This window comes from Homo sapiens, chromosome 2, assembly GCF_000001405.40.
Source record: "Homo sapiens chromosome 2, GRCh38.p14 Primary Assembly".
NCBI classification, from domain to species: domain Eukaryota; kingdom Metazoa; phylum Chordata; class Mammalia; order Primates; family Hominidae; genus Homo; species Homo sapiens.
The window spans coordinates 19885717-19909774 of record NC_000002.12 but is presented as its reverse complement, the minus strand read 5'-3'; the positions used below and the strand labels follow the sequence as shown (position 1 = coordinate 19909774).

At 39.9% G+C, this 24058-nt stretch overlaps 1 protein-coding gene across 1 annotated transcript, besides 6 other annotated features; it reads left to right on the top strand.

The window, feature by feature from the left end:
* Nucleotides 7069-7949: an enhancer, noted in NCBI's record as "H3K27ac hESC enhancer chr2:20101587-20102467 (GRCh37/hg19 assembly coordinates)". NCBI's record gives its function as "activates a minimal SCP1, AML or CMV promoter by ChIP-STARR-seq in primed H9 embryonic stem cells {active_cell/tissue: H9 hESC(primed)}" and the evidence as "EXISTENCE:reporter gene assay evidence [ECO:0000049][PMID:30033119]".
* Nucleotides 7440-7679: an enhancer, noted in NCBI's record as "active region_15369". NCBI's record gives its function as "activates an Ori minimal core promoter by ATAC-STARR-seq in GM12878 lymphoblastoid cells {active_cell/tissue: GM12878}" and the evidence as "EXISTENCE:reporter gene assay evidence [ECO:0000049][PMID:35858748]".
* On the top strand, nucleotides 7792-13144 carry TTC32 (tetratricopeptide repeat domain 32). The gene is made up of 3 exons (NM_001008237.3): nucleotides 7792-8069; nucleotides 11740-11906; nucleotides 12649-13144. The coding sequence occupies exons 1-3, from the start codon at nucleotides 7921-7923 to the stop codon at nucleotides 12786-12788; spliced, it is 456 nt and encodes a 151-aa protein (NP_001008238.1). The 5' UTR covers nucleotides 7792-7920; the 3' UTR covers nucleotides 12789-13144.
* Nucleotides 7950-8831: an enhancer, noted in NCBI's record as "H3K27ac hESC enhancer chr2:20100705-20101586 (GRCh37/hg19 assembly coordinates)". NCBI's record gives its function as "activates a minimal SCP1, AML or CMV promoter by ChIP-STARR-seq in naive and primed H9 embryonic stem cells {active_cell/tissue: H9 hESC(naive and primed)}" and the evidence as "EXISTENCE:reporter gene assay evidence [ECO:0000049][PMID:30033119]".
* Nucleotides 8130-8229: an enhancer, noted in NCBI's record as "active region_15368". NCBI's record gives its function as "activates an Ori minimal core promoter by ATAC-STARR-seq in GM12878 lymphoblastoid cells {active_cell/tissue: GM12878}" and the evidence as "EXISTENCE:reporter gene assay evidence [ECO:0000049][PMID:35858748]".
* Nucleotides 8310-8369: an enhancer, noted in NCBI's record as "active region_15367". NCBI's record gives its function as "activates an Ori minimal core promoter by ATAC-STARR-seq in GM12878 lymphoblastoid cells {active_cell/tissue: GM12878}" and the evidence as "EXISTENCE:reporter gene assay evidence [ECO:0000049][PMID:35858748]".
* Nucleotides 8510-8699: an enhancer, noted in NCBI's record as "active region_15366". NCBI's record gives its function as "activates an Ori minimal core promoter by ATAC-STARR-seq in GM12878 lymphoblastoid cells {active_cell/tissue: GM12878}" and the evidence as "EXISTENCE:reporter gene assay evidence [ECO:0000049][PMID:35858748]".
* Nucleotides 13145-24058: the final 10914 nt, after the last annotated feature.

Here is a 24058-nt window from a genome sequence, read left to right as displayed (position 1 = left end):
TATAAAAAGCAGGCCAGGCGCAGTGGCTCACGCCTATAATCCCAGCACTTTGGGAGGCTGAGGCGGGCGGATCACGACGTCAGGAGATTGAGACCATCCTGGCTAACGTGGTGAAACCCCGTCTCTACTAAAAATACAAAAAATTAGCTGGGCGTGGTGGCGGACGCCTGTAGTCCCAGCTACTTGGGAGGCTGAGGCAGGAGAATGGCATGAACCCGGGAGGCAGAGCTTGCAGTGAGCCAAGATAGTGCCACTGCACTCCAGCCTGGGCGACAGAGCAAGACTCCGTCTCAAAAAATAATAATAATTAAAAAAAAAAGCAAAAATGTTCATGGCAGAAATTTTCAAAAATACATAACGGTATAGATGAGAAAGTAAAATTAGTTGATCTTTATAAATAAAATATTTTAGTTGAATGTAAGAGATGAAAAAAACTGAAGTGACACTGAAGGAATTTGTATAATTGGTTTCTTCGTACCAAAATCAGTATTTGTTCTTAAGAGATTTCTTTAAAATTAAAAGAAAGTAGACATTAAAAGGCTTTGGGAAGCCAAGGCAGGCGGATCACAAGGTCGGGAGTTTGAGACCAGCCTGGCCAATATGGTGAAACCCTGTCTCTACTAAAAATACTAAAATTAGGCAGGCATGGTGGCGGGTTCCTGTAGCCCCAGCTACCTGGGAGGCTGAGGCGGGAGAATCGCTTGAACCTGGGAGGCGGAGGTTGCAGTGAGCCAAGATTGTGCCACTACACTCCAGCCTGGGTGACAAAGCAAGACTCTGTCTAAACAAAAAAACAAAACAAAATTATTTAGCTAATTTATTGTTTGGCAGTTTAAATTTCTAGGTAGTAAAATTGAGAGAGATTTAGAAAAAATGAGATGCTTCTACACACTACAATGGCTAAAATTGACAAGAGAAATAGTGAGGGTATAGAACAGCTGAAACCCTCATACATTGCTGATGGAAATGCAAAACAGTACACTCACTTGGGAAAAGTTTGGAAGTTTCTTCTAAATTTAAATATACACTTAACATAGAACCCAGAAATCTCACTCTTAGGAATTTACCCAGAAGAAATCAAAACACATTTACAGGAAGACTTGAATGCAAATGTACGTAAGTTTTATTTATAGTAGACAGAAACTGGAAAGAAACCAAATATCCATTAATATGTGAATGTATAAACAAATTGTGGACTATCCACACAATGAAATACTACTCAGCAATAAAAAGGAATGAACTGACACAAGTAACAACATAGATGAATCTTAAAAGCATTGTGCTACGTGCAAGAAGCCAGATATAGAAGACAGCATACTGTATGATGTTATTTATATGAAATTCCAGAAAAGACAAAATCATAGAAAGTAGTGCCTGAGATCAGGGAGAAGGGTAGGTGATTGACTTCAAAGGTATACAAAGGAGCATTGTGGGATGATAGAAATGTTCCATATCTTGGTTTTGGTGATGATTACATGACTCCACATTTGTTAAAACTCATCAAATTGCCCATTTAACATTGGTAGTTTTATTTTTTTAATAAGAGATTTCTATTTTAGTTGAATTTAACAGAAGAAAAAGAAACTGAGGTGAGACTGAATAAATTGCTGTATTATGTCTTTATGCTGAGAGATATCAGCTCCTAAGAGATTTCTCTAAAGTTAAAAGAAATTAATGTCAATGATACCTCCAGCTGATTGAAGTCCACCCTTTCCACACTGATGTGCAATTATATGGGAAAAAAATCAAGTCCATATATGTAGGTAACAATTTCTGATTTCTTTTTCTGTTCCATTGATCTGTTTGTCTTTCTTTGGCCCAAAGCAGAATGTCTCAGTTATTATAGTTTTTAAAATAGGTCCTGCTATCTGGTACAAGTCCTCCTTTGTTTTTCTTCTTCAAAAATGTTTTGTCACTCTCAGTCCTTTGCACTTCTTTTCTACATATACAACTATATAACCATGTTTAATGACTGCTTTTTTTAAAAAAAATACTTCTCAATTGTCATGTCTTTCATTTCTTTTTATCATCTTATTGCACTGGCTAGGATACCCAATACAATGCTGAATAATTAAAGTGATGATACTGGGCATTCTTGTCTTATTCTTAATCTCAAAGGAAATTTTTCAATATTTTAAGAAATCATTGCTTATTATATTTTCTGTAGACATTTTGTCGGTAGGTTTTAATAAGTATGTCTTCTTGTCCTAGTTTGCTAAGGAGTTGAATTTTATTAACTGCATTTTCTACATCTGTTGAGATTTTTCTTCAATTTGTTGATGTGGTGAGTTAAGTACTACAAGCAAGAATACTTGATAATGCTAAAAACTGCTATTCACAGTGACAATGTAACATGTAAGAGTATCTGTAGACATAGATATAACACCTAATATCTATGCTCGTAGCAACCACCTTTATAAAGCAGAAACTGCAGTGGATGCAACAAAATCAATAGAAATACAGTAATAATGACTTCAATGCAATGTTGTTGCAACGATCTTTTTACAGAAAACACACTTGCCACTTGATTTTTCCATATTTTTTATGTGATGAAATAGACATAGCACAAAATTTACTATCTTAATCATTTTTAAATTTTTTTTAAATTTTTTACAAGACGTGGTCTAGCTCTGTCACCCAGGCTGGAGTGCAGTGGCACAATCATAGCTCACTGCAGCCTCAAACTCCTTAGCACAGTAATCCTCCCACCTCAGCTTCCCAAAGTGCTGGCATTACAGGCATGAGATCCTGCACCTTGCCTATCTTAATCATTTTTAAGTGTACAGTTAAAGTGGCATTAACTATATTTATTAAGTACATTCATATTGTTCATATTCCACCACCACCACCACCACCACCACCACCACCACCACCACCACCACCACCATCCATCTTCAGAATTCTTTATCTTGCAAAACTGAAACTGTATGCTCATTGAACAATAACTCCCTATCCCCCTTAAAGCTGTCCCTGGCAACCACATTCTACTTTCTGTCTCTATGAATTTGACTACTCTGGGTACCTCATAAAAATAGAATCATTCAGTCTTTTTGTGGCTGGCTTAATTCACTTCATGTAATGTCCTCAAGTTTCATCCATGTTGTAGCACGTGGCAGAATTTGTTCTTTTTAAGACTGAATAATATTCCATTGTATGAGTATACCATATTTCGCTTATCCACTCATCTGTTGATAGACACTTGGATTGCTTCCACATTTTACCTAGTGTGAACAATACCGCTATGAACCTGGATGTGTAAATATCTCTTTAAGACCATGCTGTCAGATATTTTGGGTATATACTTAGAAGTGGAATTGCTGAATCAAATGGTTATTCTTAGTATTTGAAGAATTGTCACACCATGTGGTTGCACCATTTTACATTCTCACCAATAGTGCATAAAGATTCCAGTTTCTTCACATCCTCACCAACACTTATTTCTTCTTAATAGTTTCCATCCTACTGGAGTGGTGAGAAGTGGTATTTGATTGTAGTTTCAATTTGCATTTCCCTAATTATTAGTGACGTTGAGCATTTTTTCATGTTCTCATTGGCCATATGTGTATCTTCTTTAGAGAAAAGTCTATTCAAATCCTTTGCCCATTTCTGCATTGGATTGTTTTGCTTTATTGTTGTTTTTGGAAGTTCTTTATATAGTGTGGGTATTAATCCCTTATCAGATACATGACTTGTAAATATTCTGTTTTTTACTCTGATAGTGTCTTTTCATGCACAAAGGTTTTTAAATTCTTGTCAAGCCCAATTTGTGTAGTTTTTTCTTTTGTTGCCTGTGCCATTGATGTCATATTCACAAAATCATTGCCAAATTCAGTGTTGTTAAGCTTTTGCCATATGTTTTTTCCTAAGAGTTTGTAATTTTAGTTCTTATATTTAGGTCATGATCTATTTTAATTTTTGTATATGGTGTAAGAGACCAGCTTCATTCTTTTGTAGTGGATATCCAATTTTCCTAGCACCATTTGTTTAAAAAACTGTCTTTATGCCAATAACACACTTGTTTTGGGTAATGCAGCTTTGCAGTAAGTTTTGAAATCAGGAAGTGAGTCCTTAAACTTTGTTCTTTTTCCAAAATTGTTTTGGCTATTTGGGAGTCCTTGTAATTCCATATGAATTTGAGGATGGAGTTTTCTATTTCTGCAGAAACATCATTGGGATTTTGATAAGGATTCCATAGAATCTGAAGATTGATTTATATAATATTAACATCTAAACAATATTAAGTCTTCTAATCCATGTACATGAGATGTCTTTCCATTTATGTCTTCTTCAATTTCTTTTAGCAATGTTTTATAGTTTTAATTGTACACATCTTTTACTTTCTTGATTAATTCCTAAATATTTTTTTCTTTTTGATGTTACTGTAGATGGAATTGTTTTCTTTTCTTTCTTTTTTTTTTTTTTGAGACAGAGTCTTGCTCTGTTGCCCAGGCTGGAGTGCAGTGGTGCAAGGCACAATCTTGGCTCCCTGCAACCTCCACTTCCCAGGTTCAAGTGAGTCTCCTGCCTCACCCCCTGAGTAACTGGGATTACAGGTGCCTGCCACCACACCTGGCTAAATTTTGTATTTTTCGTAGATACAGGGTTTTGCCATGTTGGCCAGGCTGGTCTCGAACTCCTGACCTCAAGTGATCCATCCACCTTGGCCTCCAAAAATGTTGGGATTACAGGTGTGAGCCACTGTGCCTGGCTGGAATTGTTTTCTTAATTTCATTTTTGGATAGCTTCATTGTTAGTGAATAAAAATGCAACTGATTTTTGCATGTTGATTTCATATCCTCCTACCTTGCTGAATTCATTAGTTATAACCATTTTTTAAATGGAATCTTAAGAAGGACTGGTGTTGGTTCTTCCTTAAACATTTAGTAGAATTCATCAGTGAAGCCATCAGGTCCAGGGCTTTTCTTTGTCAAGAGGTTATTTTTAGATTACTGATTGAATCTCCTTACAAGTTACAGGTTGATATGGTTTGTGTGTGTCCTCACCCAAATCTCATCTTGAATTGTAGCTCCCATAATTCCCACATGTTGTGGGAGGGAGCCGGTGGGAGAAAAAACTGAATCATGGGGGCAGTTTCCCCCATACTGTTCTCATGGTAGTGACTAAGTCTCACAAAATCTTATGGTTTTATAAGGGATTTCCCCCTTCACTGTTCTCTCATTCTCTCTTGCCTGCTGCCATGTAAGACGTGCTGTTTGCCTTCTGCCATGATTATAAGGCCTCCCCATCCACGTGGAACTGTGAGTCCATTAAACCTCTTTTTTCTTAAAAACAAAAAAATTACCCAGTCTTGGGTACGTCTTTATTAGCAGTGTGAGAACAGACTAATACACACGTCTATTCATATTTTCTATTTCTTCATGATACAATCTTCGTAGGTTTTTTGTTTCTAGGCATTTGCTCATTTCATGTAGTTACTCCCATTTTTCAGCATACAATTGTTCATAGTACTCTCTTATAATCCTCTTTATTTCTGTAGAATTGATGGTAATGTTCCCATTTTCATTTCTGATTTTAGTAATCTGAGTCTTTTCCTTTTTCGTAGTCAATTTAGCTCAAGTTTTATTAACTTTTTTAATCTTTTTAAGAACCAACTTTTGGTTTTGTTGATTCCATTTTTGTTTTATCTGTGTTTTGATCTTTTATTATTTTCTTCCTCTGCTAGTTTTGTGTTTGCCATTTGTTCTTGATATTTAATGTTAATAAATGTTTTACTTTTTAATAAATCTGTTAATATTCCAACTGTTTTTTAATATAATTCCTTTCCTTTGTAATCCTATGTTTTAAAAACACTTGAAAACATTGAAACGACATAGGCTTCACCACACTTGTAAAGGTGCCATAGCACAAAAAAGGTTAAGAATCTTACTCCTATTTAGAAACCCCCTTCCCAAATCCCCAATTTCCATTACATATCCTGCTATTTTCCTCTTAGATCACTGGTTTTTAGACACATAAATATTCCTGTTATTCCTTGAACAGAACAAAGCAAAACTTCTAGTCAGGTGCGGTGGCTCATGCCTGTAGTCCTAGCACTTTGGGAGGCTGAGGTGGGCAGATGTCTTGAACCCAGGAGTTGGAGATCAGCCTGGACAACATGGGGAAACCCATCACCACAAAAAATACAAAAATTAGCTCACTGCCAACCACTTCCACCCAGAAGGGATTCTTGTGCCTCAGCCTCATGAGTAGCTGGGATTACAGGCACCCGCCACCACGCCCAGCTAATTTTTTGCATTTTTAGTAGAGACGGGGTTTTGCCATGTTGGCCAGGCTGTTATCAAACTCCTGTCCTCAGGTGATCTGCCCGCCTAGGCCTCCCAAAGTGCTGGGATTACAGGCATGAGCCACAGAGCCTGGCCATCTCCACTTTTTCTTATCCCCCAAAAGGATTAACATCCCTGGCTTTATGTAGAATAGTGTACGCTGCCACATCAGTGTTTGAGTCATTCCCCAGAGGAGAGGGGAATCCCCCCTCCATTTTTTTTTTTGCAACATCTTGTCTTCCCTTTGCTGTTGCTTCCCCCAACACACTTGGTTTTGTTCTATCCTGTACTTCAGATTTGTTTTTTGTTTTGTTTTTTTCATATTGAAAAGATGACATTGCTCCAAGAGGCAAAAATAAATGGGAACTGAAAAAAAAAAGCTTTTTATCTTATTTATTTAATCTTTTAATTCACCTGGAATGAATATTATGTCAATTGGGAGCTTAAATGCTTAAATGTATTTTTCCCCAAATGGTTAACTAATCCTCCCAATAGCACTCATTTGAATAATCTGTCCTTTCCCCATATATGTTACATGTCTTTTACAAAATACAGCCTATTTGAGGTATGTTTCTGGGCTTTTGTTCTATTGAGCTGTCCATTTGCTTACACCAGAAATGCCAGTTTATTTTTTTGTAGTCTTGCAATCTTTTAATTTCTACTAGTGCTTTTTAATTTAACCTTAATCCACTGTATTTGTATTTTTTTCAGTGGTGGTAAAAGGAAAAAATTAAAAATCTAATGAAAGCAGCCAAAAGCACACAATTTATGTCCTGTTAAGACTTCCGCATGTAAGTATCATGCTCCAAATATATTTTTCATCTTTACTTTTTATGACGGAAAGGGCTCAAGTACTTTGGGAAGCAAAACAGAATCGAGGGACGCCGAGAAGATACACAGCAGGCATGTAGGGTAGCGTGGTTGGCAACTGTTCTTACAAAATTTTAATTTGAATTATACGTAATGTACGTAATAAATTACTATTTGGATTTCCCTTTGGCATAAACAGCCAGGGAATATAACTAACATCAAAGATCCCAGACTCTCGACACAATATACTACTAATCGTAACACAATTCTAGAGGGTCAAAAAAGGTAGAGAAGTTTGGACCGTGGAACAGACCTGGTGGAATGTCGACACAAAGCGTTTCAGGGTAGACAAAGCCTACTCAGAACACCCTAAACGCGGAGTTTTGCTAAGTTGGGACGCTAAAAGGCAAGGGAATGACAGGACGTCCGCAGGCTAATTCGCCATTAAGAAACAGAACCGCGGCTTCTTCCACCTCCAGCGTCATCGGCCCCCAATTCGCTGTAACAAACGGATAGTGTCTCGCAGCATCAGACAACGGACTTGGAAATCAGTTTGCGACCACGCATCTGCGCCTTTTCTAGGAAAAGAGGAAGGCGGGTCCAACACTGGTAACGGCAGAAACATAGTTCACAAGGGCCACTGCAAACGCCCCGCCAGCAGCGGAACCGTTATCTCGCGAGACGACGGATCCCCATAAGGCACAAACCTAGCGCCAAGGTTGGCTGTCAAGGTAGATTCCAGGGTGTGGAAGTGGCTTTGTGGTGCCACCTCTAACCGCTCGGAGGTCAACCCCCATTCTACACCGAAAACTAGGCCTTGGCTGCTATGGAAGGACAGCGGCAAGAAAGCCACGCAACCCTAACACTCGCCCAGGCTCATTTCAACAATGGAGAGTACGCGGAGGCCGAGGCACTGTACTCCGCTTACATTCGCCGGTGCGCTTGCGCGGCCTCCAGCGACGAGAGTCCCGGGAGGTAACTATCGCGAGACCTGGGGCCGCGGCGACCCCGGGTGGAGGCGACGTTGGGGTTGTTTGGGCTCCTATCTTTGCCTCTGGAGCTCACGGTCGGCGCTTGTCATAACCCAGCACTAGGACTGAGCGGGCGGACGTTCGTCTTTCTAGAAAGGCCTAGGCGAGGCCTAGGACGAGGGCGGCGGAGAACGCGGGGAGAAGCCCACCCGTGAGGAGCCAGCTGCCGCGACGGTGCGGAGAGATTTCCGGGAACCAAGCCCTCTGCGCGATCCTCGGGCGCGGGCCGCCGCCTCTCACCCCGCCGTCTCTCCTTCCACGTTCCTCATTCGCACCCAGAGACTTAGGACAGATAGGAATTTTCCACTCGTGATTTTAGCTGGCGGGAAATCCGCGACCTGGGAAGGGAAGGGGTCACGGCTGCGTAGGGCCACAGTACCGCGACTCCCATCTCAGTGTCACGGCGCAGGCTCTTGGTGGTGTTTTTCACTTGTGAAAAACGTTTAAATATGTGGAAGAGAGCATAACGAACGTCTAGGTGTTTATCACTTGGCTTAAGCATTATCAGTTTACCTATTGTATTCATCCATGGATGTTTCAGAAGGAACCACCATGTCATCATCACATAGTTACTTAATATCAAGTCGTCAGTGTTGGAACCATTCTGATCGACTAATAAGGTGTTTTGTTCTTTGGTTCCCTTTTCGCAGTTAGTTCAAGTCAGGATACACATCAAGTCTTTTTAAGTCTCTTCTCCACCTTCCCCTCTTTATTTGTTGAGGAAACCGATTCTTGTGTCCTTTGAATTTCCGTGTTTTGGACTTGCTGACTGAATCTCTTCTGTCGTTTAATGTGGTCATCTGTCTCATATTGCTGTGAATTGGTGGTTAAACCTTGAGGTTTGATCCAATTGAATTCAGATTCAATATCATGGCAAGAATACTTTTTAGGTGGGTGTGTGTACTTTCACCAGGAAGCACATAACGATTCGCTGACTTTCTCTTTGTGATGTGAGCGGCTTCACCTGTTACTGTCTGCTTGCCCAAAGCATCTTTTCGGCTTGTGCCTGGATGTGTAGCATTTGTTTTTACTCCAAGTCTTGCCTCGACTGGGCTTGTTGATGGTATGGAGTGGATCAGGATGAGAAAAGAACAGAGGGGTTGGTTGAACAGCTTTTTGAATAGTTGTGAGTTGTCTGTTGTGGATTTGAGTTTTCTGGACAGGATGCCAGCTTGTCTTTTGTATGAGGCTTAACTAAACACTAAGGACTTGATTCTTACCCTGTTTGTTACGCTACATGGAATTAAACCAGAAAGAAAATTGCCTTCTCATTTCAATAACACACAAGAATAATAATAGAAGTTTCTGAACAGGCAATAAGATGATACCATCTACTTTCCTCAGTGCACCTCCCCCATAAAAAAGATAAGTAAACATAGAAAGCGAAACTATTCATGTTTCAAGCTCTAAGAGTAGACTTACCTAGTAGATTTTAAAAAGTATTTATCAGCATCAGGTATGCTGTTGCTGTCTAGTCTTGTTATTCTTCCTTCTTTGCACCTCTCAGCCTAAGAACACAAGTGTCTGTAGCATATATAATAGCTATGCCTTACCAGCACAGGAAAGACAGTTTGTCATAGCGCAGTAGAAGGGAGTTCATCATGCCTGAATTCCAGTCTTGGCACTGCCACATGGCTAATGTCTCAGCCTCAGTTTTTCATCTGTAAAATAAGCTTTTGATAAAATTCTAGGAACTCAAGGATTGAAACTGAATTCTGTCATTTCAACTTTTTCCCTTCAATTTATCTTTTGGAGCTTACATTTATTTTCTAAGTATTGGGTCACTAAATCATTTTGAAACAATATTTGCAATTTTTGAATGCCTTTCATTCTGAATGGTTTGTGACGTTTTCTTTTAATATCTAAAGTATAGCTTTAGTCATAAACCTAATTTCCAAAGTGTGTGTGTATATATATACACACACTTTATATATAAAAAATATATATACACACACTTTATATATATATAAAAAATATTTTTTTTTGCGAAAGTTAGCAAATCCTAAAAATTCACATTTGGGTTAGGTAACTTGAATGAATTCCATTATAATAAATACTATCATTACAAAAATTTTAATATTACAGAAAATTTCGGCTTCAACTGTTAGTCCATTTCTTTAAAATATGAAACAAAATTTCCACATGAAAACGATTTTAGAATTTGATTTAATGAGATCTAATTCTAAGTCTAACATTTTATGATTCTCTATATTACGAATATATAATTAGTATTAAAAACTTATAACAATAATTTTGAAACTTCGATTTAATGACTAAAACCTTACTGGCATCCTGAGATTGCTTTTTTCTTTAAACTCTCTACTGGGAGCAGTTCAACTAGTGTCATGTCACACATAGGTGAAGGGGAGTGGTACCGTCTTGTAATCTAGGTTTTAACGGGGGTGCTTAGTGGCATCCAGAAGTATCCCTACATCCAGTCTCCATCACAGCTCATAGAATAGACGTTTTCTAAAATTGCGACAGTTCCTCTCCATCGTTAGCAAACTTGGTTTGAAGGAGGCCCTTGGGCTGTGAGTGCCTCTTAGGGTAGCAGTAGTTACAGTCCCTGTCTGAAATCTCAAGGATCAAGATATTAAGAGAAGTAGCTTTTATTTACACTAACTGCCTTCACAGATACTTTCGGAGGACTATACTTTTTACTACGGGGTATTACAAAGAAGTGACAGATGAATTCTCTGTTTGGTTCTAATTTGAGAATTGCTTTGGGAAAAAAGAAAGGGAAACAGAATCATCCCTGACTCAGAGCAGAGGCACTAATGTTCTCTGTGCAGACTATTTGTCCTGTGCAGAGAAAGGTTCAAGGCAGCCAGGGGCTGTGACCTGTTGAGCTGGTGGCTGGTCAGAGCTACCTGGCTGTACAGCCCAGGAATGGCTGCTAATTTAAAGCTCTTTGGGCAACCTCTAGTTCCCTCAGGTGCAGAGCCAGTTCTGCACAAAGGACATCAAAATTGACTGGAGCCCTGAGGGGGTCTAAAGGAGCCCACCCTCCTAGCAGGAAGCCAGCCTGGCATTGGGGAGGATGCCAGCTGAGGCTGGAGGGAGGGCAACTCTGTCCCCAGAGATAACTTCCTGGGGATCGTAGCATGTTGAATTTTCACTTAGCGTTAACTTTAGTTTTTTATTGGTGGAAAATGATTTCAAATCTTATTGTTTTAAGATCACTTAAAAATTTGAGAATGAAATTGATTCACATTGTGACATATCCATAGCAAACTCGGGCTTTGGGCTGGCTTTCCCTCTTTGCTTAGTATTTATCTGTTCTGTCTTCTTTGCCCTGCTGGTGTGTGCTTAGAAAAATGAACAATCATTTTAATGTTATATTCAGCAGAACAAATTGGCAGTGAACACACTGTAAAGTTAGTATGCTTTTCAGGTTGACATTGCAGTGGTATAACCCTACAAAAGTAGATAACAGGGTTAAACAAAAATTGATTTTAGCTCTTTATTTGTACGTTTTTTCTTCAGCTTGGATTTTCAGTGTTGATGCTGCATGTTATAGGCTGTGAAGTTTGACAATACCCAAAAGAGAATGAAAGTGGAAATGAGAGGAATTTGGTAACACGGTGTTTTTAATGTGAACTTTTTGTTTAAAGCAAATGCAGCCCTGAGGATTTGGCTACTGCATATAACAACAGGGGGCAAATCAAGTACTTCAGGGTTGATTTTTATGAAGCCATGGATGACTACACATCTGCCATAGAAGTCCAACCCAATTTTGAAGTTCCATATTACAACAGAGGGTTGATACTGTATAGGCTGGGTAAGAATTTTTTTTCTTTTTGAGTTTTGTCATTGACTGTATTCTGTTATTTCAGAGCTTTCAAATGTTGTAAAACTAACGTGGTAATCAAATTTTAAAGTTCTGTGAAATTTAGGTTTAGAGCTTGGAACAAAGGAAGTGTCCCTGAGTTTATTTTAGGCTTTTGATAGGCGTTATAGATCACAGCAGAGCACTGGGGTGGGAATTGGACCTGGGCGCAGGAGCAGGGGTGACCCCATTACTTTGTGCTTGTGCATTCCCAGCTGTGAAATGAGGGCAATTCAGATGTTCACCTGTGAAACTTTTCTGAGTTAAAATCTTTGAAGACACACAAGACAATAGAAAGTGAAGTTTAGATTCTTGGATTAAAGGGACCATAGGTAGTGTTTCTTCATTTAAAGTGTCAAAAAGAAAATTAGTTCCCGTTTCTTAATTTTACTGCAATTATGTAAAACAGGTGATACAGTTTTATTAAAATTTTAAGATGATTGATAATATTTACCTGTTAAATCTCAATAAATAAACCCATAGCTAATTTTAGGTGTATTATTCCCTAAGGGCACACAAAATTACTTTGATATACACATCTCTATATTATTAAGATAAAAAGATTCCTTTACTAGAAGTGACTGAAAGCTCATAAATATAAAAGCAAAAGTACATGTATCAAAGCTTTTCCATGAATAATATATAGAAATACTCGGTTTCTTTTCTCTTTTCCATTTTTTGGGTTCTGGTACAGGATATTTTGATGATGCTTTGGAAGATTTCAAGAAGGTCTTAGACTTAAATCCTGGATTTCAAGATGCTACTTTGAGCTTAAAACAGACTATTCTAGACAAAGAAGAAAAACAAAGAAGAAATGTTGCAAAAAATTATTGATATTTTTAACTTAATGGAAGTATTGATTCATGATCCTTACATCTGCATCTAGTTATCAGTAATTTAGATATTGAGCTATTTTGATTTATATTTAAGAAATTAATACATTAGCACTGAAAGTTAAATAGTGTGTTTAAGGTAGTTAATTTCAGGTTGAATGGGTTTTTTTTAATGAAGTGTAAATAATACCAATGTATAAGTGTATATTATTATATTAAATATTATAGTAAAAAGGAATGTGTGGTATTTTCTTCAGCAAAACTATTTTTGTGATTTTTTTATTCTCAACTTTTTATTTAAAAAATGTTACATCTGCAGAAAAGTTGAAAGTATAATAAACTCTTCAGTTAAATTCATGAGTTGTTAATATTGTGCCACATTTGCTTTTTCTATTTAAATATATAACTTTTTGCTGAAACATTTGAAAATAAGGTGACGAGGTCACAGTACTTCGCCCCTAAATATTTCAGCCTACATTTTCTAAGATTGAGGACATCCTCCTTTATAACCACAATACCATTATAATACCTAATAAAATGAATAATTCTGTAATGTCAGCCATATCCAGCCCATATTCCAAAGTGTGTAGATTTTTATTTGGATCTAGAGCCAATCAGGTTTCAATTGCATTTTTTTTTTTTATGTTTCTCTCAGTTCTTTTAATCTAGTCCCCTGTCCATTTTCTTGCCCTAGCATTGGCTTTGAGAGAAAGGCTATTTTATATAGCTAGGCTAGAGAGACATAACATTTAGGCTTAAAAATAAACATGTCCTACAATTTGAAAGAGTTCAGCTTGAATTACACTTGATTTTCTCAAGTAATCATTGATAAAAATAGGTTAAGATTTAAATATTGAACATATTTTCTGTCTCTGGATAATGACAATTGTTATCAACATTTACTGAATACTATAAGCCAAGCACTGTTCAAATCTCCATAATAATTTGGTGATCAGGTAGGAATGTATAGAGAGGTGAGGAAATGACAAAAAGCACTTAGTAAGTATAAAGTTTAAAAATCTTTTATTTTGGTGCTGCCAACAATTAGGCCCTTATGAAGCTATCAAAAACCGGGAAGAACTTGAAGGGAAAACAGACTAACACCAGCCATATGCCATCTACATTTTTTGTATTTTATTGTTGTTTGGCTTCCAAAGATTCCCAAACTAGTTTATTACTGCTATGGAAAAGCTGTTCTGTGGTGGAAATTACCCGAATCAGGAGAAAGGAAAGTTTGCTTTGTGTCTTCAGAGGAAGGCGCAGGGTAACTTCTGTGGCCTCAGATGCAATCAGCAGCAGCAGCCTTAAAATGCTTTTTTTGTGTGTGTATGAGTAATCTCATGAAGCAGAAAAAGTAATTGCCCTGTTTGTAGCTCATAAGTAATATCTGGCAAAATACATGGAGAGTTTGGGCTGTAGGTAAGTGAATATTAAGAGGAAATTAAGTTTCATGGCCTAGAAACAAAGTCTCTGTTTCTGGAATTATTCATACTTTCCAAAACGGTTTATCTTATATTTGTTGGAAATCTAAAAAAATTTCTAAAATTGCATTAAAATGTAGAAAAATCCTTAGGAAAACTTTTTTTTTAAAAAAGCAAGTTTCCTAGACCTTGGGAGGGAAAGCTTTAAGCCATTCCACCCAGAGAAGCAAATGCTTAATGTTTAATTTTATTTTCTCTTGACTCATATTCTCTTTACTCTTGACTGGGATCAGATGGAATATGAAAAGGAAAAATTGTTTAACATTTTCATGTGGTTTGTTAGATTATATTCAAAATTTCTTCATCCTTTATCAGAAAAAAAAAAAAAAAAGTCACTTAAGTTCAGAATCAGCAGTTGCTGATTGTAGACCCAGGCACTCATTTTCTCTTGTCTTGTTACTGGAAATAAAGAATAATTCATTTACCTTGTTTAGCGTTGAAACTTTAGGCATTATTCAGATTCTAAGTTTCTGATTGACCAAATAATACCTTGGATATTTACCTTAAAATATATTCATTACCGTTCATATTTCCCACATTTCAGTATTCGTTATTTCCTTTTTCTACTAGAAAAGTAACTTATGTTTTCTAATTTTTTCCTTTGTAAAAACAAAAGAATTGTGGTTTGTTATAAGGTTTCTCTTTCACAAAGTGAGGTAAGATAGGATAAAATGGATTTAAGTTACTTTTGAGTTTAGAATATTACTCCTAACAGTAGTTGAAAAGTGTGGAGCTATTTGTTTTTTTCTGAAATTTGGAACTGAATAAAACCCTTTACTTTATGATAGCAAAGCAAATATCCAAGTTAGTCTTTAGTCATTATCTATTTGCTCTTTTGCTCTGTCATTTGCTCTTTTGCTCTGTCTTTTTTGGTTTTCTGTTTTTCACTGGCTTCTCTACCCTCTGAATCCTAAATGTAGCCTTGGCTCCCTGTCATTTTGTAGGTCTTAAATCTTTCTCCGTGGGCATGATATATTTCAACCCCACCTACCACTCAGCGTTTACACTGATTCTTGTCTCAATGTCTCCCTTTCTGCTAAGTCTAGCCCCCTTAAAAATTTAACTCAGAAGTAAACAGTTTGTATATAAACCGTAATAGCATGTTTTTTTTTTTTCTTTTTTGAGACAGGGTCTCACTCTGTTGCCCAGGCTGGATTGCAGTAGCTTGATGACAGCTCACTGCAGCCTTGACCTCCCTGGGCTCAGGTGATCCTCCCACCTCAGCCTCCTAAGTAGCTTGGACTATAGGCATGCGCCATCATGCCCAGCTAATTTTTGTATATTTTGTAGAGATAGGGTTTCACCACATTGTCTAGGCTGAGCATGAATGTTTACTGTGCTAGTTTTTTGTTTTATTGAGAATAATTCATATATCATATAGTTTACCCATTTAAAGTGTACAGTTCAATGGTTTGAAGGTATATTCAGAGTTGCTGCACCATTTTTTCAAGGTTTTTGGGTATACTGGTCTTGCATGCAAACTGCACTTAAAGTTACAACACAGAAAAAATTTTATGCAAATTAATGACTAAACATGAGAGTGTTTCAAAAACAACAGCTCATGCACAAAACAGATCTAAGAGTCCTAAAAAGTGCTGCTTCTGGCTTCATTCAAATATGTGGCACGATTCCACTTTGTCTCATGTGATGCTCTCTAACTAGAAATGTGTTGAGTAAATCAGACGGCTCATCTCTGCCTGAAATGGATGCTGAATTTAGTGTGTTTAGGTTAACATATTGCTACGCTAAACAAATTGTTGACAAATGTGTAATAGCTTTTCAAGAGCATAGTGAAAAGTTGACTGAATATTTGCTATTTACGCTAGGTGTGTAATTTTAACAATTTCTATATAAATTCACATTTTGGTGTTTTCTGTGTTTCTAAAAAATGTGACAGTAAATTGTGAGAACAGAATGCCCATAATTTAAAATGGCAGTTGGTAAAAGAGGGAGAGTGAGATTTGTTAAATTTCAAATCTAATGTTAAGGGACTTCAAATGACACCATTTCACTCTACAGAAAGGAAAGAAGGATGAGTATAGTCTAATTTCTGTTTTTGAAAAAACAAAGCAATTGATACAATTAAAACACATAGTTTATCCTTTTTAAAATCACAAGAAGGTAAAAGAACACGTCATGTAGCAAGACAAATTATAAAACAAGCAACCTGTAAGGAAGCCCCGAAACTGAAATTATGAATGTGGATATAAAAGTAAAATAGGAACACAACAGTGTAATCCCAGGTTTATATGTGTCATCACAAAATCATAAATATAGCAGTTTAGTGAAGGTCTTATTCTGCATAGAGGATGAAGCTAAGAAATTGAGTAACTTGTGCAAGGTTGTGTCCAAAATCCATATAAATATTTGAAACTGCAATGAGTATCAATGTTTTTGCTGTTGGCATCAACTCACAGCAGATATGTGGACTTTTTTTTTTTTTTTTGGTCCTGATAAAAAATTTAAATTGCTCATAAAATGTTTTAGTACCCAGCAAAGTGAGTATCAGAATAATATTAAAGTATGTTTTTAAATAATGGAATGTTATTGCAATGCCCACATTGCTTGGTGGTCATTTTTCTTATTAAAAACAGACACAAAAGATGGTGAAAAGCAGATTAATTTTAAGAGCAAACTCCATTTGGAAACTAGATAGCTACAGCTGCCAATATGTAAATTTTTATCTTATGTCAAAAAAAGCATCCAATACGTAGAAATAAGGCAAAAGGATTTGCATGGCATTTCAATATCATACCAGCAGACCCACTCAACGACTGTTTAATTCTTTTGGGGAGCCATGTGTGTGCCTTTCTTTGATTTTCTATTTACTCTTGATTAGGGCCCAGACTCTGGGAGGTTGCATGTAACTTGCAGATTTTTGTCCAGAGGAGATGCAAATGAACTCTGGTAGAAAAGATAACCCCAAAAGTTTTGGCTGTATTGCCCTGAAGAACGTTAACCAGTTTTGTATTTAACCTAGCAACTTTATTCCCAAATTCTTTCTTCATGGACCATAAGTACTCAGTTATTCTAATGCTCTTTTACCACTCTGGCGGTTCTCTATTAATGAGTTAAACATTTTTCACATTTTCATTCTATATTCTTATAAGAATCGTGCTTAACTTCAAAAAACATTTTGGCCCTACTACTGAAGAAACAACAAAAAACCCTTGGTATGGTTTGGCTGTGTCCCCACCCAAAATCTCATCTTGAATTGTAATCCCCATAATCCCCACATGTCAAGGGAGAGACCAGGTGGAGGTAATTGAATCATGGAGCTGTTTCCCCGATGCTGTTCTCGTGATAGTGAGTGAATTCTCACGAGATCTGATGGTTTTTAAGGGTTTGGCAAGTTCCTCCTTCTGTCATTCTTCCTACTGCCTTGTGAGGAAGGTGCCTTGCTTCCCCTTTTGCCGTGATTGCAAGTTTCCTGTGGCCTTCCCACCCATGCTGAACTGTGAGTCAATTAAACCTGTTTCCTTTATAAATTACCCAGACTGGGGCAGTTCCTTATAGCAGTGTGAAAACAGACTGATACAACCCTTAAGTAGAATTTATTATTACATAGTCACATTATTTCTAGCAGGAATAAGAGCCAAGGGGGACTGAAAAGCTTCAGTTTTTTTTTCTGTTGCTTATTTATTTTTTTTTTTTGAGACAGAGTCTCGCTCTGTTGCCCAGGCTAGAGTGCAGTGGCGTGATCTCAGCTCACTGCAACCTCCACCTCCTGGGTTTCAAGGGATTCTCCTGCCTCAGCCTCCTGAGTAGCTGGGATTACAGGCATGTGCCACCAAGCCCAACTCATTTTTGTATTTTTAGTAGATACCGGGTTTCACCACGTTGGTCAGGCTGGTCTCAAACTCCTGACCTCATGATCTGCCTGCCTCGTCCTTCCAAAGTGCTGGGATTACAGGCGTGAGCTACCGTGCCCAGCCCGCCTATTTCTTTAAACTATTCAACAATTCTTGTTTGGAGTGTGTGGAGGCTTGAGCTCTGGCTGAAGCGAAGTAGAGGGAAGGCCATCACATTCAATTTAAACACATGCAAAAAGTACTCCTTTTAAAAGTGGCAAACCTGCAGAATATAAGGTAAAAAGCAGTTCCTGTCTATCCTTCTAGGCCTTTTTCTTTGTACAAATACATGGGCACAGGTATGCAGATACATGCGCAGAATTATGGTATACATATTATTTGGTAACTTAAATCACTTATTATTTTGAACATTCTTTTGTGTAAGAACTTAGAAGTCTACCTTATTCTGCTTTGACACATAATTTTTAAAGCCGCATGAAAAGTGCTTGCCAATTTCTTGATATACAATTAATACATGGCTATGGTAATAAAAATTAAAACAGTACAGGAGGTATAAATAAAAAGACCCCCCGCCTTTCATATTTTTCTCTACAGCTAACCATTTTTAGCCAGAATAACTAGAAACAAAGGGTTAAAAGGCTCCCTTTCCTATGGCTGCTAGTCACCTCTTGAAAAAATTACTATTAGTTGTGTTCACCACCTGAGTGCCTCTTTTCCCTCTAGGCAATTTTGACTCCTGTGTACCAAGAATACCTTTGAATGTATTCTTTTGGCACCACGTTATTTGAACCTATTTCCACTTTATTGGAAAGCTCTTTTTAAGATCACAGAGTTGATGTTGTGCAAACTTAAAGCATCCCAAACGGAGTTCCTGGTCCTCCCCCAGCACAGCTAATGGCAGCTGTACTGTCCCGCCTCTCATGCCAGACTTGGTCCCAGTGCTCCCCAGCGGCAAACACTGTGGGTTCCTACCTTGAAACAGATCCCGATTCCAGCAATTTTCATCTCATCCGCTACCACCCAAAGCCAAGACATCAGCCCCTCTGTATTGCAAGTATCCTGCTTTGTCAGTTTTACCTCCAAAGTCAGTTTCAACACAGCCACCAGAGTGAAGGTTTGGGAGTGTGCCATGGCTTCTCTCAGTGAGAAGCAGAGTCTTCACAAAGACTCACGTTGAGGAACTTACATGTGCTGTTTTCTCCCTGCCTTACCCCATGGCCTTATCCTGGCCCTTCTCTGACCGCTCTCTTTAAAATAGCAAATCCTCATCATACTCATCTTTTTTCTGTTTACCCAAACCATGTTCTTATTTATTTTGTCTTTCCCACACTGGAAGGCAAGCTCTGAGAGGGCAGGGACTTTTGTCTCTTTTGTTTACTGTTGTGTCCTCAGCACCACGGCCTGGCATGCAGAAGGGCCTTACATGTGTTGAATGGATAAGTGAATTCATTATCATAATCTGCTCAGTAACTTGCTATTTAGAGCTTACAGATTCATCACTGGCTAATAGGTATGGGGTGGATAAGTGTTTGAGCCCTTCTCAGCTGACCTTGAGAATAGGGCCTGATTTATAGTTCAGCATCGATTTTATTTAAAACAGGTCACTATTCTAGTTTAGAGGAAAAAGCCCCTCTAAAAGACAAGGTCAAATTCAGCAGGTAATATAATGTTATAAACTATAAAGTTACCTGTTAGGAGTTGAATTGGGCCCCCCAAAAAGATATGTTGGAGTTTTAACTACCAGTACCTCAGAATGTGACCTTATTTGGGAATAAAGTTATGACAGATCTAATTAGTTAAGAAGATGCAGGTGGAGTAGGGTGGGTCCTTACAGATACCTTGTGTGACTGATGTCCTTACAAGGAAAAGGAAATTTGGACACAGACACTGGGGAGAACGGCTTGTGAAGACAGAGGTGGAGACTGGAGTGGTTCTGCCACAAGCCAAGGAACACCCAGGGATACCCGAAACTGGAAAAAGCAAGGAAGGGTTTCCAGCTCCCCAGGGGTGAGGTCCATGCCCTAGAGGCTTCAGAGGGAGCATGCCCTTGCCAACACCTTGATTTTGGACTCCCCAGTCTCCAGGACTGTGAGAAAATAAATTTCTGTTGTTATAAGCCACTCAGTTTGTAGTGCCTCGTTACAGCACTGCTGGGAAACCCAATAAATAGTAGTTTCATTTTCAAATGACAGGCCTTTTGCACATGAGCTCGCATGTTTCTGCACCTACACATGCAGCTCTATTGAAGAAAAGGTGAGCCTTTTGTTAGAACAAACCTGAAAACGGAAGACTTCCAAGGTTGGGGGGTGGGTGTGGGAAAGAAGGGGCTATTACTCCTTTATCTGATCATGACCCTCACTGGATCAGGAGAGGAACCCATGACTGAGCACCATATAGAACATGCTGGTTGCCCTGGCTGCCTGCTGAGAAATCCATAACCACCCCCGTGTGGCTTCGAGACATTCAACTCTCGGAGAACTGAGGTTTCTCTGACTTGAGATTGGAAAGGAAAAGTGGGAGTCACTTCATGCTGCCAAACAACAAACCATTGCTAACAAGCCAGGTGAAAAAATAACCCAGTTGGCTGAGCAGGCAGGATTGGGAGCTGTCAGTCTGGGACTCACAGAACAATAATTATTTCCATTATGAAGACTGGCTGCCAGTAGACTTACTGGAACTGCACCAGCTTCTTGCTTGGGGAGGGTGGTGTGGAGGCAGATGGAGCAAGGCGCCTGCATGCAGGGCCCCAAGCCTCGGTGTGTCACTCATCTGTGACAATGGCCAGTGCCCACTCCTCTACCCTTGCTATTCTCAATCCCACCGCCCTGTCTGTGTTCAAATTTCTCTCCCAGAATACAGCCTTTTCATTTATTTAAATCCTGCTCATTCTTCTGGGACCAGCCCAAGTCCCAGTAACTACCATTAAACCTTCCCTGCCAATATCAACCCAAACTCATCTCATTCTCTAACTTCCATCACACTCTGGTCTAGATGGAGCACCCTTGCTACTGAATGGGGACCACAGACCGGCAGCATTGGCATCACCTGGGAGCTTGTTAGAAATGCAGATCCCTAGCCCTGTACCAGACCTGCTGAATCAGAGCTCACACTTTACCCAGGCCCCCAGGCGGTTCATACGCACACTAAAGTATGGGGAGCACTGTCTGTAGTACTGGTTCTCAGCACATGGTCTATGGACCAGCAGCACCTAGGACCATGTTAGAAATGCAAAATATCAGCCCTACCCCAAGCCAAGTGAATCTAGCTCCCTGGGGGTAGGGTCTAGCCATCTGTGTTTTAACAAGGCCCCTGGGGAGTCTGAGGCACACTCAAGTTTAAGAACTACTTCCAGTTCATCTGGCCCAGCATCTAATTCCAGGGTGCTTTTCCATTTCCTGTGTTCCTCTCCCTCTTCAAGATGTGGACCCTGAAGGCAGGAGCCATGTTGGTTGTCTGTCTGGCACTCAGACCAGTTTCAACAGGGTGATTGACGTCCCAGGGCAACTGATCTGTTTTCCTTACCCCTCCCTGCCCTATACAAGCACAAGGGAGTCTGGGGAGAAGGACAGTGGAGGAAAGGGCCGATGGAAGATGACCTTCTTGTTTTCCCGAGTCAAGGGTTTGAGGTTTTTGTGGGAGGTTGGGGTGCATTATGCTGCTTCTCTCAAATTGGAGACCATTGTTACCATGTAATTTTATGTTGTGGCCTGACTTGATCCAGAATTCTGTCTCCAATAGTTTTACGTGGGTTTTCTCCCTGGAAAAAGTTATTACGATTGAGCAAATAAAGCAATGTTGGCTAACTGTTCCCTTTTCTGGATCGACATGTCCTTCATCTGGGTAAGTGGCAGTGGCCAGCTCCTCTGGCTTGCAGGACCAGCAAGGAAGATTTTCAGACGTGACTAATGTATAGGCTCCTTGGACTTCCTACTCATGAACTCTCATAAAATGTGCTTTGTTCCATCATTGTCAATTAACACAGCAGCGAGCAGTGCTGGGCTGGGGAGCAGCCGGGCCTCGCCTTTAGTGCACTTCCTCCTTGGCTGGCTGTGAGCTTTCAGATAGCCAGACATAATTCCTTTTGAGCTGCTTAATGGACACATAATTTTAATCAGTCATAGGACACTTGAGCGGGAAGGAACTGGAGAAATCATCTACTCCTTTATTTTACAGGTAAAGGTTCCGGCTTAAAGGTTATGCAGTTGGTTAACAGAATTATGACCAGATCTAGCCCTTCCGGTTCTCAGTTTAATAATAGTGACTTCCAGTTAGTGAAGCATGCCCCGGTGTACACTTATTTTCATTAATCCTGATGGCAAACCTTAGACCTATCTCAAGATTCAATTTTGTGCCTAGGACCATCCTCCCGGATTGCAGTCCCATGGGCCCAGCCCTGTGATGTAATATGCAAAGGCTCAGAAACCTAATTTGGAGAAGAACGTTATGGGCACTGAAGACGTCCTGCAGTAGACAGGACACCCCAAGGCACTGCTAAGTTGTGGGTGCATGTCTCCAGCTGGAGCTGTGGGAATGAAAGCTGGCATAAAGAATGTTGGGATGAGGGACATAGACCTAATCACATTTCCATCTACTCAAATGCTGCTTATAATCTGACTTACAATCATGGGAAGGAGAATGGTGATTCCACATAAAACCTCAGGTACTGAGGACAGCAACCTACCTGGAATAGGGGCGGGGAAACGGGAGAACCTTCCAGCAAGACAAATGTCTGCCATTTCCATGTGTCCTCATGAAAGCCTCATGACATTCTTTCAAGACTGACATTATTTCTATTTTACTAAAGGGACAATCAGAGAGTTATGTTAGACTGGAGTCAAAGCTAGAAGGTCCCAGATTCTTTTCCTTAAACCTAAGCTCCCTCTAGGGTGACCAACTTGCCCCATTTTGCCCAGGGCTCAGTTTTGAAGCCCCTCCGCTCAGGGCAAGCCTCGCTCCTCCCTCTTCTTGCCCTGGAGGGAACAGGAGTTCTTGATAGGCGCCGTCCTGGCCTCGCAGGGCCTGAGTTCAGCCTATTTTGCTCAGCCGATTGGCGCCTGGCACCAGGGCAGGGCAGGCTGCTTGGTTGGGGTGGAGGGGGGATGTGGCCCACAGCCCCGGGCAGGCTGCTGCTCTGCCAGCTGCTGTCACACCCCATTTTACTGTGGAACGCTGGTCACCAACAGGAGAGTGTCGCCTGCCTGGTTCTACTTTAATTCACGCCCACAAGAAGTGGAATATGAGGGAGAAGACAGGAAGACAAGTGACTCAGCCGTCAGAGAAGCCAATCCCCGCTGTTTCTGCCTTGGGCCAAATTTAGGTGCGAGGGTCAAAAACTTACTCAGAATTAGCTGAAGTCAAAAGGGACATTAAGGATACGAGTCTCATGGAAACAGGAATGAGTTTCACGTCCCAGGCATTGGCAGAATGTGGAGGGGACAGCTCGCCCACCAGTCCTCCCCAGCCCAGCCTCCCTGGTGTCCTGAGAGGCCCAGTAACCAGCACTGGGTTTTGAACCAAACGGTAATGCAGACAGGCAGATCCAGAGGGGATGTTGGGCTTCTCTGGGAATAGGACTGGGTTGCAGGATGCAGCTTAGAGGGGACACTCCGACAACAGAGCCTCAGAATTCGGAAATGGTCCTGGATGTGGCAGGCAGTGCCATGGGGGTAGGGGAGGGTGTGGGCGGCGGCTGCTGCCGCCCAGGTAGGGTTATGGTAAGAAGGAGACAAGAGCTGCACAGACTCTGAAAGCAGGCACCCCCAGGAGAGTGAGGGGAGAGAGGAAGGGGCTGAGCTATGCAGCTTGTTTTTTTTTTTTTAACCCACACCATCCCCTCCCCCTAGCATCAGGGAAGTCACCGTGTCCCAGGGTGGGGCAGAGAGAAAAGAGAGAGGGAAGAGGCAGAGAGATGGTAGGAATGTCATAGCTAGTAGAAGTCCACCCCCATGGCAGGAGATAGGAGTTGGGGGAACAAGCAT

Bases quoted from the DNA above. Each gene is read 5' to 3' on its own strand.
- TTC32 (NM_001008237.3), top strand. From the start codon at position 7,921: ATGGAAGGACAGCGGCAAGAAAGCCACGCAACCCTAACACTCGCCCAG. The intron at 8,070-11,739 runs GTAACTATCGCG...TTTTGTTTAAAG, and splicing joins AGCGACGAGAGTCCCGGGAG to CAAATGCAGCCCTGAGGATT. The intron at 11,907-12,648 runs GTAAGAATTTTT...GTTCTGGTACAG, and splicing joins GTTGATACTGTATAGGCTGG to GATATTTTGATGATGCTTTG.